The sequence below is a fragment of the Homo sapiens genome, chromosome 5 (assembly GCF_000001405.40).
Source record: "Homo sapiens chromosome 5, GRCh38.p14 Primary Assembly".
Taxonomy (NCBI): Eukaryota; Metazoa; Chordata; class Mammalia; order Primates; family Hominidae; genus Homo; species Homo sapiens.
In genome coordinates, this window is record NC_000005.10 from 83688794 (window position 1) to 83703775 (window position 14982).

Below are 14982 nucleotides of genomic sequence, written 5' to 3' on the forward strand. Positions count from 1 at the left end.
GAACTCTTCTATCACCCTCTGCTATGTACAGTGAGAAAGAGCTACTAAAAATTCCTCTAATAAAGCCATAAACAAAGAAAACTAAACTGAAGACCATGTCAATATGCATTTGTCAACAATGCCCATTTGGTCCATATTTGATGAGGCTGAGCAGAACCTTGGGAACTTAAATTCAATGCTCCGTATTGAGGCTTAAGTACAATTCTTAGTACATGCATTGTATTTGCACAGGCAAAATTCCATTTAGAATGAACTTGCCTGGAGGATTTGCAAAGCCTACAATAGGTGCATAGTCTACCTTATTTAAATTTACTCAGTCCATTGACCAATCAATCCCAAGTATTAGGCTCCTGTTTGTAGGAAATTTCCATTTTTCATGATAAAATTATTTTGGCTATTCTTCCTATTTGGAAGGGTAGGGTGAGGAGCGTTAGGGATCGGTGGATTTAGCTAAGACCAAAGTTGAATATGCTGAGCACCTAAATAATGACTGTTCTCCTTGCCAAACTGCTACATACACATAGCTCGTGTATTAATGAAAATCAGAGTTATGAACATTTGCATAATGAAGATTACTAATATTACTGGCTTGTCCTATGTTTCCCTGGAAATATAGGCAGCTACATAAATGAACATTTTCATTAATAAAAGGCCTTATAACTGAACTACAACTTTTTTTTCACTCCCCAGACAAGAAGAATACAAGGGAAAAAGGAGTCTCTGGAAGGGAATTAGAGTGCCCACAAAACCAACTTCAATAACTTCACTATTTTGCCTGGGGCAGGCTGCAGTGGAATGATAATATCAAGGGCACATATGGGGTGATTTTAGACTTGACAGTGAAATCAAATGTGCAGAATAGGCTAAATAATGGCCAATTTTCTCAGAAAGGGAGAGATTTTTTTATTTACTACATACCCCCAGTTATTTAAAATTTATTATACAGTGATTTTACTATAGAAGTTTGTGTGTGTGTGCATGCACCTATAAAAGTAAACAAATCAGATAGTTTACACACACATGCCCCAAATTAATGGCTAATTCTAAACCCAAATATATAAACTTAAAATTTTTTCATTGGATTTATATAGAATTTTTCCTTCTGAAGGGTCAGAGATAGGAAATTTTATATGAACAAACAAAATATCTCATTGCTATTCATTCTTTCTTAGCTTCAAAGCTAAAGAGCTAATGTTATTTTACATTTACAGTATTATTAGTGCACTGCTTTCTTCAAAGAGCTATTTTCTGGAAGACCACCCAGAAGTTTCAACTAATTGAGGAGGCAATCTTCAGTTTACTTAAATAGGAAGGCTACGTGGGACACATTCCTGGCATCAGTACTCCTCTGTCATATCTGTTTGTGCTGGATATAATGCAAAGGACAATGTTAAATTCTGAAAATACCCTAGACTGTTTCCCCCCATCAAACAACCAAAGCAAAAAATAGTTAATTTCTGATACCTTTTTCAGAAAGATTGTTTTATAATCTGGGCTTTGAAAATTCCAGGAAAAATGAGCCACCCAAGGCGATCATAAAAGCCAAAGTTACAGATGTAGAAACAGGTTTTTTAGTAGTGTGATGTATTTCTGAGATTGTTGAAAGTGTAAGATGTTATTTGAAGTGGCACAGAATTAGCTGTTTGGTCACGGGAGAAACATCTGTAAATGGGAACTAAAAGGTTTTATGAACAATTCTTTGAGAAATATGTTGGAATCTAGAATAAGTAAGATTGGGGTAATTTATATGTGGAGATATGTTAATTCTATTTTCACAGATTTCATTGTAACATGCTATGGTTTATTAAATGGGTTTTATATATTTAAAGAGTCACATATTTTTCTTTTCAGATAAGGCCTTTCCATTTTTATCTGCTAATTTATGAATTTGCGCACCCCTGATTTTCTCTTCCTTAGGGAAAAAAATATCTGACATAATTTCAATATTGTTAAAGACATTGAAAACTATTTATATGGTGATTATATATTCAGGCATATTATTATGATCAATTACCAAATCTAGTCCTTTAATACTATCCTGAGTATTTTATTAAAATAAGTCGCATATTTTTATTAGTTTTATATGAATGCATGTGTTATTTTAGAGAAACTAGAAAAATGAAGAAAAGCAAAACTATGAAAATAAAACCACCTAGGACTTCTGTTTCTGATCAAGATGAAGTAAGATGAGCAGTATTTACTCTTCTGTCTCAAACAACTAAAAAGATAATGGACAAAATACAGAAAAAACCAGACACTCAAGATATTGGACATCAGGCAAAGAACAGTAACTTCTGATTATTAGAAAACAAATGAGGTGAGTCATATAATTTATTGCCGAAAGAAAGTTTTCATACAGTACAGGAAGAAGGAACCTACCTAGAGCCTGTTCAAAAACTTGAGCTGAGGCGTTGAGAGCCAAGAGTTCTGAAAATTGACGGTTCCTAGAGGTTGCAAGGCAGAATAATAGAAATGAGAGGAAAGGAGAGAGTGACACAGAGTTAACTTAGGATGTTTAGAGTTTTCTCCTAGAATATTCAGTTAAGGACTGACCAGTGCATATGTGTGAGAAATCTATCCAAGTCTAAGGAAAAAATGATCCTAAAGGATTAGTCTTCACCCAGCACTGGAATAGCACCTGTTTCCAACAGGCAGTCTAAAAAGCCTCATAATTCTTGGAGAAGGTTTAAAATCTTAAGATGAATCTTTACTCGCTAGTGGAGGGAAAAGTAATACTAAACTTAAGACAGCTCTAGGACCACCTAACAAAATTTAAAAGAGTGACCTGAAAGAATCAAACTGTTTCTAAGTACCTTAACCATATCTCTGAACAACGTATAGTAATATTTGTAGGAATAAGTAGTATCCAGCCTTAATTAAACAAGGTAAAATTTAAAACATACGGAATCCAACAGAAAGCTACTGGGCTTACAAAGAAGCAGGGCATACCAATAATAATAGTAATAATAATAATAAAGAGAAAACTTAGTCAATGGGCAGACCCAGAAATTATAAAAATGATAGTAGATACGGATGATAGAAACAGTAGATAAGAACATTAAAATGCTATTATATCTATATTTCAAATGTTCAAGAAGCTAGAAGAATTATTGAATATGTTACATATAGAGGCATGAAAAAGACATTTACAACCAGCCTATATAAAACATTTAGAGATGAAAATGACATTGTCTAAGATAAAAAAAAATTGAATGGGATTAATGGCAGGTTAAACAATTCAGGATAAAAGATGAGTGAAGTTGAAGATGTTGCAATAATCAAAACTGTCCAAAATGAAGCAGGGAGAAGAAAAATGACTGAAAACTAAAAAGGAAAAGAGCATCACTAAACTGTGGGACAACTTAAGTGGCCAAAACATACGTAATTGGAGTCTCCAAAAGAGAGAAGGGGCAGAAAAAAATTTGAAGAAGTAATGACTGAAAACTTTCAAATTTGATAAAAATTACAAACTTACAGACCCAAGAATTTCAGCAAATATTCTAGCACAAGAAACATGCAGAAAATTAAACCAAAACCCTCAATAATGAAACTGCTTAAAACCAGTGGTAAAGAGAAAATCTGAAAGAAAGGAAGAAAAAGACCCATTATTCACAGAGGAATAAAGGTAAAGATGAAGGCTGATTTCTTGTCTGAGACAAAGCAAGCAAGAAGACTGTGGAATGAGATCTTTAAAGTACTGAAAGAAAACTGTCCACCTAGAATTCTTTACTCTGCAAAAATATGTCTCATAGACAAAGGCAAATAAAGACTTTGTTAGACATACAAAGCTAAAATAATTCATCAATAGCCTACACAGAAATAAATATTTAAGAAACTTCTTCATGCAGAAGAAAAATGATAACAGTTGGTAAACTGGATTTATGCAAAGAATGAAGAGCACTGACTATACTAACTATAAGTAAGCACATTTTTCTCATTATGTAAATGTTTTTCAAAGATAATTGAAACCTTAAGGTAAAAATGATATGAATGTACGGTGGGGTTTTATATTTAGAAGCAAAATGCATGACAACTGCATAACAACATTTGTACAAAGACCATGTCTAAGGGTAATAGAAATATGTCATTGGAAGGTTCTTATATTAATACTTTACATGAAGTATAGTAGTCCCCCTTATCTTCAAGGGATACATTCTAAGACACCCAGTGGATGTTTGAAACTGTGGATAGTACCAAATCTTACATATGTTGTGTTTTTTCCTCTGCACACATACCTATGATAAAATTTAATTTATAAATTAGGCACAGTAAGAAATTAACAATAATAAAATGGAGCAATTATAACAATATACTGTCATAAAAGTTATATGAGTATGGCCTCTCTCTCTCAAAATATTTTGTTTTACTATACTCACCTCTTTTCTGACTGTCATTGACTGCTGGTAACTGAAGCCAAAGAAAATAAAATTGCAGATATGAGCAGGACTACTGTAGTAAAATATCACCTGAAAATAGACTGTGAAAAGTTAAGGTATATACTATAAAACCTAAAGCAGCCAGTAGAAATGTAAACAAAGACTCATAACTAATAAACCGACAAAGGAGACAGAATGGAATTTTTGGAAAATATTCAAATTATTTCAAAAGAAGATAGAAAAAGAAGAGGGAAGAGAATGAAGAACAGAAGAGGCAAATAGAAAAATTAGCAAGATAGTGGATTCAGAGCCAAGCATATCAATATTTTAATTAAGGGTAAATCATCTATAAACCTCCATTGAAAGGCAGAGATTGTCAGGTTGGATTTAAAAGAACCACTATATGTTTTTTAAGATAATCTAAATAAGAAAGACAAGAATATATGACAAGTAAAAGGATGGGAAAATACATAATATGCTAACACTAACCAAAAGGGAGATAGAGACACTATATTAAAATCAGACAAAATAGATTTCAGGATAAAAAATATCAGCAGGGGAAAAGAGAGCAATTTCATAATGATAAAGTGTCCAATTATCAGGAGAACATTACAACATTAAAAATGTATGCTTCTAATAACAGAGGTTCAAAAATACCTGAAGCAAAATGATATAGAATTGTAAAATATTAGAGCATCCCTTTATCAACAATTGATGGAACAAGTAAGCAGAAAAATCAGAAAATATATAGAAGACTTGAATACTGTAAACCAACCTCACCTAATTAATATTTATAAAATGTTCTACTCAACAAGAGCAAGTACACATTCTTTTCAAATGCATACCAACCACTTACCAAGATAAACTATATTCTGGGTCATAAGACAATTCTCAAGAAATGTAAAAGGATTTACGTGAGGCAAAATATATTCCCTAAGTATAGAATTAAGGTAGAAATCAAAAACAAAAAGATATGTGGAATACTTCTATCTATTTGGAAACTAAAGCACAAAATTTTAAATAACCCAAGGGTCAGTGAAAAAATCAAAAGGGCTATTAAAATTATTTTAAACTGAATAAAAATTAAAACATAGCATATCAAAATCTCTGGGATGCAGTGAAGCAATACTTAGTTTAGAAAGTATTCCCCTAAACACGTATTAGAGAAGAAAAGTTTCAAATCAATGACTTCAGATTCCACATTAAGAAACTAGAAAAAGAAGAGAATATGAAACCCAATGTAAGCAGAACAAAAAAATAATAATATCAGAGTAAAATAAGTAAAAACAAAAGATGGTTCTTTGAAAAGATCAATATAATTCATAAATCTCTATACAAGCTAATCTGATAAAATATAAAAGATATGAATTATCAATATAATGAATGAAGTAGATAATATCTATCAATTCTATAGAAATAAACAATAAGAAAATATTATGAAACTTTGTTTTAATAAATTCAGTGAGTTAAATGAAATGGTGAAATTCTTTGAAAGATAAAAATTGCCACCACTCACACAAGAAACAAATAGCCTGAATGCCCTATATCTATTTTTTAAAAATCAAATTTTTAGTTTAAAAATTCCCATGAATAACAACAAAAATGAACAAAAAAATAAACAAAACCAATTCCAGGCCTGGGTGACTTCACGGAATTTCACCAAACATTTAAAGAAGAAATAATATCAACTTTACACAAACTCTTAGATTAAATTGAAGAGGAGAGAATATTTCCCAATTTATTCTATGAGGCTAGCATTATTTCAATACCAAAATCAGACAAAAACATTTCAAGAAAAGTAGATTACAAATCAATTACCCTTCACAAACATAAACGTAAAAATTTTAACAAAATTTTAGCAAATCTAATCCAAAAAGATATAAAATGGATTAATACAAAATGGGGTTTATCCCAGAAATTTAAGGTTTTCTTTATATTAGAAAATCAATGTAATTCATTATACATATATTTTTGAAATGGAGTCTCACTCTTGTCACCCAGGCTGGGGTGCAGTGGCGCAATCTCGGCTCACTGCAACTTCTGCCTCCTGGGTTCAAACAATTCTCCTGCCTCAGCCTCCCGAGTAGCTGGGATTACAGGCACATGCCACCACGCCCAGCTAATTTTTGTATTTTTAGTAGAGATGGGGTTTCGCCATGTTGGCCAGGCTGGTCTCGAACTCCTGACCTCAGGAGATCTACCTGCCTCGGCCTCCCAAAGTGCTGGGATTACAGGTGTGAGCCACCACACCCAGCCATAATTCATTACATTAAGAGATAGAAAGACAGACACAACAATCAATCGATTGCTCAACAGATAAAACAGATAGATCACTAAATAGATTTATATATATATACATATTTAGTGTATCTATTTTCCTGTATCTATTGAGATGTTTATATAAATATATATAGAGATAAATATATATCTATATAGATATCTATAGATATATATCTATATAGATAAATATATTTATATATAGATAAATATATATCTATATGTATTTATATAAACATCTCAATAGATACAGGAAAAGTATTTCACATAATCCAACATCCACTCCAACTAAAAACTCTTAATAAAGGAATAAAAAGGAACTTCCTCAATCTGATAAAGGGCATCTATGTTCAACCCACAGCTAACATCATACTTAATGGTAAAAGACTAAATTATTTATTCCTAAAACCAGAAAAAAGGCAAGCATTTACGTTTTTACCATTTACTTTAAACATCCTAGTGGAGGTTCCCAGAGAGTGGAATTAAGGCAAGAAAAAGAAATAGAAGTCAAACAGATTGGAAAGGAAGAATTAAAACTTTTTATTTACAGATAACATGACAGTCTACACAGAAAAATCATAAAAAGTCTACAAAAAAGCTACTGTAACATATAAACTAAGTTTAAAAGTTGCTGGATATATGATCCATGTGCAAACATCATTATATTTTTATACACTGGCAATGAATAATCAAAAATTGAAATTTAAAGAATACCATATACCAAAGCATAAAAATATTTAGGGAAAAATAGCCAACAAATATGCAAATTGTACTCTGAAAGTTAAAAAACATGTTCAGATAAATTAAATGAGACATAAATAAATGGCAAGATATGGTATTTTCATAAAACAGGCTCAATATTATTAAGAGATTCAGTCTTCCCAAGCTGACCCATAAATTCAATGCATTCAAATCAAAATTTTAGCCCACATTTGGTAGAAAGGTACAAGGTAATTTTAACATTCATATGTAAATGTAAATTCCCTGGAATAGCCAAAATGTTTTAGAAAAGGAATTTACAAAAGAAAGAACAAAGTTGAAAGCACAAAGAGTTGTGCTACCTGACTTTAAGATTTATAATAAAGTTATAGTAATTAAGAGAGTATGGTATTTGCAATGTGGTATACAAAAAGATCAGATACAAAATTTTAAAAAGAATTTCATTCATATGGCCAAACTGCTCTTCAGAAAAGTTCTCAAGTTTTATTTCTACCAATAGATTGAATAAAGAAAATACTCTTGCCTGTGTATAATTTTAAATATATACATTTGATAGACAAAAATTTGGTAGGCTTATGTTTGTATTAATTTTCTTTGCTCTAATTACAAATGACATAAAAAAATTTTGTCCATGCTCATCAGTCACTTACATTTCTCCTTTTGTGAATTGCCATATTTTAACTGTTGCCTATTAGTTGTTACTGAGTTTTGAAACATTAAAAAACTAATGTAATTTGTATATCATAAAATGCACTCTTTAAGCATACAGTGCAGTGGTTTTTAGTACATTCCTCAAGTTGTGCAACCATTACCACTACCTGTTTCCAGAACATTTCCATCACCCGTAAAAGAAACTGTGTACCTATGAGCTGTTATTCCCTATTCCCTCCCCCACCAGGATTCCTGGCAAACACTAATCTACTTTCTGTCTCTATGGATGCCATTCTAAATGATTCTAAATGATTCAATGAATTCAATGACTTCAATGAATTTAATGATTCAATGAATATTCAATGAATATTCTAGATGATTCAATGAGTCTATTCTAGATGATTCAACAAATCATCTAGAATAGGCAAATTCATAGAGACAGATGTATTGACTGATGTAAATTGAATCATATAATTTGTGGTCCTTTTATGCCTGGCTTCTTTCACTTAGCGTAATGTTTTCAATGTTCATTCTGTAGCAAGTATCAGTACTTCATTCTTTTTATGTGTGAATACTATTCCATTCCACCTATATAGATACCACATTTTATTTATCTGTTCATCAGTTGATGGACAATTGAGTTATTTCCACTTTTGGGCTTTAATGAATAATGCTGCTATTAACACCCATGCACAAGTTTTTGTATGAACATATTTTTTGAATTCTGGGCCTTATCTACCAAGCGATGGAATATGGTAACTATATGTTGAGCTCTTTGAGAAACTGCCAAACTGTATTCCAAAGCACGGCACTGTTTTATGTTCATGCAACCATGCATGAGGGTTCCAATTTCTCCACTCTCCACATCCTCACTGACACTTATTATTGTATGCCTTTTTCATTATAGCCATCCTAGTGGGTATGAAGTGATATCTCATTAGGGGTATAACTCGTATTTTCCTAATGACTAATGATGTTGACTGTCTCTTGATGTGCTAATTGGCCATTTGTACATCTCTTTGGGAGAAATGTCTATTCCGATCTTTTGTCCATTTTTTAATTGGGCTGTTTATTTTTTAATTGTTGAATTAGAATTTTTTATATATTCTGGATATATACTAGCATAAGATTTGCAAATATTTTTCTCCCAATCTTTTGGGATGTCTTTTTATTTTCTTGATATTGTCCTTTGAAGTACTAATGAGGCCTCATTTATTAATATCACTTTGGTTGCGTGGCTTTTGGTATCACATCTAGGAAACCACTGCTTAATCAAAGGTCATTAATATTTACACCTATGTTGTCTTCAAAAGTTTTATAGTTTTAGTTCTTATATTTAGTCTTCAATCTATTTTGAAAGAATTTTTGTTTATGATGTGAGGTAGAGTCCAACTTCATTCTATGTCTGTGTCTGTCTACTTCTCCCAGCATCTCAGTTTTCCACTGAGAAGTCTGCTGCCAGACATACTGGAGCTCCATTGTATGTTATTTTTTTCTTTTTCTTTTCCTGCTTTGTAAGGAGTATACTTTCCTCACTGAATTTTCTTGGTACTCTTGTCAAAAATCTGCTATCGATTTTTAAAAACTCTTTGCATATTAAAGATACTGCTTCTTTTTCTGTGACATATGTTAAAAAATTTCCCTGTATTTTGATTTTTGGTTTTTATGTCTAGAATTAATGAGAATTTATGAAACTAAATCTATCAGTGTTTTCTTTAATGAATTCTTCTGCCATTATTATTATAAGAAATCCACCTATAGTTCCCCTAGTAGTAGTTCATGAAAATAATATAAATAGCTGCCAATTGTTCATTACTTTCTATGGTGCTTTACATATATTATCTTGGCAGTATCTTGGCTACAAACACTATGAGGCAAATATTGTCAAAAATTCTATTTTATAATGGATAATGAAACTCAGGGCTTAAGTAATTTGCACAAGGTGCAGAACTGATACACAGTAAAAATCTTAATTGGAATTTAAATTCAGGCCTACTTGACCCCATAGTATAATCTCTAAAATAAGTGAAATGAATTTGAACTTCATCAGCATGGATATAGAAGGTTTCTCCAAAATTTTTCGAATACGGTATCGTATACATGATACTCAATTCTATTTAAAGAGCAGCATCTCTTGATTAAGTAGAAGTATAATATTTTTAGCAGAGAATATGCTATTTTAAATTTTTAAAAAACTTGTTAAATATGTTTTTAATTCCCATTTAGTATATAAGATATTTAACATCAAATTCACTGTTGTGTATAAATTATTAACCACTGGTGAAAAAAAGGTGCTAAGGCAGTAAAAAGTGAGCTTTGTCATTCAAAGAGTACATAAAAGGAAGAGGCTTTGAAAATGTAAATAGACAAACATAAAATATTAAATGCAGTGTACTTTACCATCAAACAACTATTGAAGGAGATTATTTTTCTCAAATGTGTCCAGAATGTTTGTTAAAACTATATAGTGACTCCACTTTGTTAGGGCAATGTACATAGTGGCTGCTCACCCTGAATGACGCCTTCCAGCAAAGGTGTCCTTAAGAAGGAAATGTACAGTTCAGATTGTAAATCACCACGGCCTAGGATGCTACTGTTTTACTTCTAGCAGAAATCTTGCGGGCTAGTTAGAAAGCTGCTCTGCTACTGAGAGATCTTTAATCAAAAGGTATAAATGTTCCCCAGAGCATGAATATAATTATGTTAAGATCTAAACTCCACAGTCAATATACTATAAGGCATTTTATGTATGCTTACATGTTTTTCCAATTGTGTATCAGAGCCCAGATGATAAAAAAGGTTTTACCACCCATTCAGATCTAATTTTCCTGTCCTGCTCACCAATATGCCAAAAATTCAGATTTGTGATTCACGGGAACATTCTGCTACATAAATGAAATGTGTAAACAAATAAATACCTGATTTCTGATATACTGAATATTAAATCAATCATGTTCCATAGTTTCTGATAATAAGCTTAACAACCAATTATACTATTGATAACAATAGGAGCATGAAGCAAACAACACTTCTATTTTAACATTAAAAGCAGAGTACCAAAATGCTTCCTGCTGGTAAACTGAAACAATTGTTTTATTTAAAAACTACACCTTCACACCTGTAATCTCAGCACTGTGGGAGGCCAAGGTGGTTGGATCATGAGGTCAAGAGATGGAGACCATCCTGGCCAACATGGTGAAAACCCGTCTCTACTAAAAATACAAAAATTAGCTGGGCATGGTGGCTCATGCCTGTAGTCCCAGTTACTTGGGAGGCTGAGGCAGGAGAATCACTTTAACCCAGGAGGCGGAGGTTACAGTGAGCTGAGATTGCGCCACTGCACTGTAGCCTGGGTGACAGAGTGAGACTCCATCTCAAAAAAAAAAAAAAAAAAAAGACAACCACCACCACCACCACAACAAAAATTACATGTATCTACTCTGATACTGCATACAAATAAAGACTTTTCTTTTTAAAAGAGAAAAGAATGGATTTCCAATTATTGCCAATGTGTCATGCCTGAAGGACCCTTTTCCCACCCATCAGTTTGAGGTGACAGTTACTGGCTTATAGCAATATCCATCATGATTCAAAATTTAGAATATTATTATGCAGAAGTCACATACTGTTCACCTCTCATCCTCACCATGGACACTGTCATCTGGTGCAGGCAAGGAGGAATAGAGAAAGGAGAAAATTTTGCAAATGAGGAGAAAAAATTGCCAAGAATACATAGTAATATAAATTAAGGTCACATTTTGTTTTATACCAATTACAGTAAATTGGTATTTTCCTTTAAATGTTTATGTCTCAAACTCTCCTTTCAAACTTTTTTTTTTTTTTTTTACTTTTAGGCAGCTAATGCACTACCATTCATAATGACTATTAGACTAAGCTAGGTTTCAATTTTTGCTATGATCTATCAGTTTAAGGGTGCAGATAGTCAACGATGGCACAAGGCTCCTCTCATTCTGCTCTCTGAAAATTAATTTGAAAGAGTAACCATATGTAATGAAATAAGGACACAGTAAAAGAGTGCAGATGATTAATGCCTTCTATTTTCAAAATAAAGTTTTTCAACTCTGCATTAACATTTATTTTCCTTATCTCTGGTGCACTAGCTATTAGTTTAATAAAAGGAGACCTTCCCAGTGACAAGGACATTATCTTATTAATTTCTGTAATTCTGTTACACTATCAGTCAAGAGGTTTACTTTCAAGTGATGTTAATATAAATGAGAGTTTTCCTTTTAGTCTTATAGTTCCAAGGCTCAAAGCCTGTATATGGATTGTAAAGCTAATACTAGACTAATTGCAATGTGACTTGAGAGCTAGAATAGAACCATCTGCAAAATTTGGAACGATGTGACAAAAATAACAAAATTTTGCAGGAAAAACATAATGCTTTGCATTTAGAAATAGACGTCCCAAATATGGAAAAGCTATTAAACTTATTTCGTGTAGCTTCACAAGGCAAAACTGGACCAAGTGGGTGGAAGTCAAGAAATCAAATTTTGCACACTGTCAGGAAGAATTTCCTAATAAGTCATCTAAAAGTGAAATGAATTGCCCTGTGAAGTACACAGTGCTTTCTGCTACCGCAGGTGTTTAGGCAGATCAACAAACATCTGCCTATTGTATTACACAGGGGATTTGAGAGTAGGTGGGTGTTTGGAACACATTTGGTCCTTTGATCTCTACAGTTTCAAATCTGACCTTTCAGCTCAGAATTTTGAAGGATGTAAAGATGGATAAAACAACTCATTAACAAAGACACTATAAATAAATAAAAGACATTTTAACAGTTGATTATATTCAACACATGAAAAAGTATATGAGGCGGGGCACGGTGACTCACGCCAGTAATCCCAGCACTTTGGGAGGCCGAGGCGGGTGGATCACCTGAGGTCAGGAGATCAGGACCAGCCTGGCCAACACGGTGAAACCCCGTCTCTACTAAAAGTACAAAAAATTAGCCAGATGCAGTGGTCCCAGCTGCTTGGGAGGCTGAGGCAGGAGAATTGCTTGAACCCGGGAGACGGAGGTTGCGGTGAGCCGAGATCGCTCCACTGCTCTCCACCTTGGGCGACAGAGCGAGACTTCGACAAAAACACACACACACACACACACACACACACACAAAATCTATATGAAGTAATCGAGGTACGAATAAAATATTAAGAGAGAAATGAGAAAGAAGTGACTAATTCCAGCTAGTGGCACAATGCAAGGTTACCGGGAGGAAGTGTTACATGAATGATGCAAGCATGAGCCATGTTTCAGGTGGGAGGGATAAAATGATAAGGGATTCCTGCTTGAGAGAAGTGTGTAAGCTCAGAATTAGAGGAGTAGAACTGCATAAATGTTTGGGAAGAGAAGTTAGATATCCTGAGAGATTTTAATGATTGAAATCTTTGTGATAAATTTGGCTTTTACTTTGGCCTGCCTTTCATGGCTTAAAAAAATAGATATAACATTGTCAAATATCCGGTATAAATTATAAACTTTTCAGTCATCATTTTTCTTTTTATAACTTAAAATCACATTAGATAGTGATAAAGATGGATATGAACATCTCAAACTGCTTCCAGAATTTTGTCTTGTTAGCAATAAGACTGTAGAGCATCTACAAAAGACGCAGGAACTGAGTCCCCACTAAAATTTATCTCAGCACAGCATCTTCAGGGAGCTAGGCACACTGATAATCCCTCTAGGCTTGAAGGGTTTGGTCTCTCAGAGAAATAAGGCCATGAAGATAAGGGTTACTCAGAACATAGTCAAGCCAACCCACTGATTTTTGGCATTTCTTAAAGTGGAAAGAAAAGGAAATTTTCCAACTAGCTGATTTTCTTACTCGTTAGTCTGTCTAGTGTCTTTTGTTTCTGGAAGCTTTCAATATGCCCTCTTTTTTTTTCCCCCAACAGTTTTCCTTTTTTTTTTGAGACAGTCTCGCCCTGTTGCCCAGGCTGGAGTGCAGCGGAGCAATTTCAACTCACTGAAGACTCCGCCTCAACCTCCCAAATAGCTGGGACTACAGGCATGCACTACCACACTTGACTAATTTTTGCATTTTTAGTAGAGATGGGGTTTTGCCATGTTGGCCAGGCTGGTCTTGAACTCTTGACCTCAAGAGATATGCCTGCTTCAGCCTTTCAAAGTGCTGGGATTGCAGGTGTGAACCACCATATCTGGCCTCCAGCAATTTTCTTATGCCATGCCTGGGTGTGGGTGTTTTACTTTTTGGTGTTTATCCTGTTGGGGCATTGCAGTGCTTCCTGAATCTGTGACTTGTTGGACAGCCACAGACATTATTGCTAAAATATTTTTTCTGCCCCATTTGCGTTAACTCCATCTGAGATGCCTATTTCTATATCTCACATGTCTTTTACTACCACTGCCCCCTGCTCCTGGAAGTTTCATTTTTCTCTCCAATTTTAGCCTGGTTACTTTTGTCAGACCTATTTTCGAGTTTACTAATCATCTCCTCAATGTTTCTAAACTTTCCTAAACTCATGTACTGAGTTTTAATTTTAGTCATTACATTGTTTTTAGTTCTAGGATTTCCATTTGAATGTTTTTTTGTAGTTTCCAGTTCTTTTTTAAAATTCTCTACTTTAATATCTAATTTCTGTGCTTGCTTGAGTAGCACACACACTAAAATTGGAATGATTAGCATGGCCCCTGCGCAAGGATGACACACAAATTAGTAAAGTGTTCCATATTTTTCATAAGTATTATCAGCATGATAGACCAAGCTGAGGGAAGAATCTCAGAACTTGAATACTGTCTCTCTGAAATAAGACAGTCAGACTTATGAGGACTTATAAAGAAAAAAGAACGAAGAAGAATGAACAAAACCTCCAAGAAGTATGAGATTATGTAAAAAAACTAAATCTACAAATCACTGGCATTCCTGAAAGGGATGGGGAGAAAGCCAACAACTTGGAAAGCAGATTTC

The 14982-nt window shown here is 33.5% G+C and overlaps 1 protein-coding gene and 1 pseudogene across 4 annotated transcripts in view; one reads left to right on the forward strand and one right to left on the reverse strand.

The window, feature by feature from the left end:
• The window catches only part of HAPLN1 (hyaluronan and proteoglycan link protein 1), an 83051-nt gene that overhangs the window by 50989 nt on the left and 17080 nt on the right, over positions 1-14982 (reverse strand). The window contains exon 1 of one of the 4 annotated variants that reach the window (XM_017009052.2): positions 4377-4463. The exons of the other annotated variants lie outside the window; for them this stretch is intronic. The gene's annotated coding sequence lies outside the window, so the exon portion shown is untranslated. Of the gene's footprint in view, positions 1-4376; positions 4464-14982 lie in introns of those variants that run through there. 4 annotated transcript variants of the gene reach the window in all.
• Positions 14655-14750, forward strand: RNU6-620P (RNA, U6 small nuclear 620, pseudogene; annotated as a pseudogene).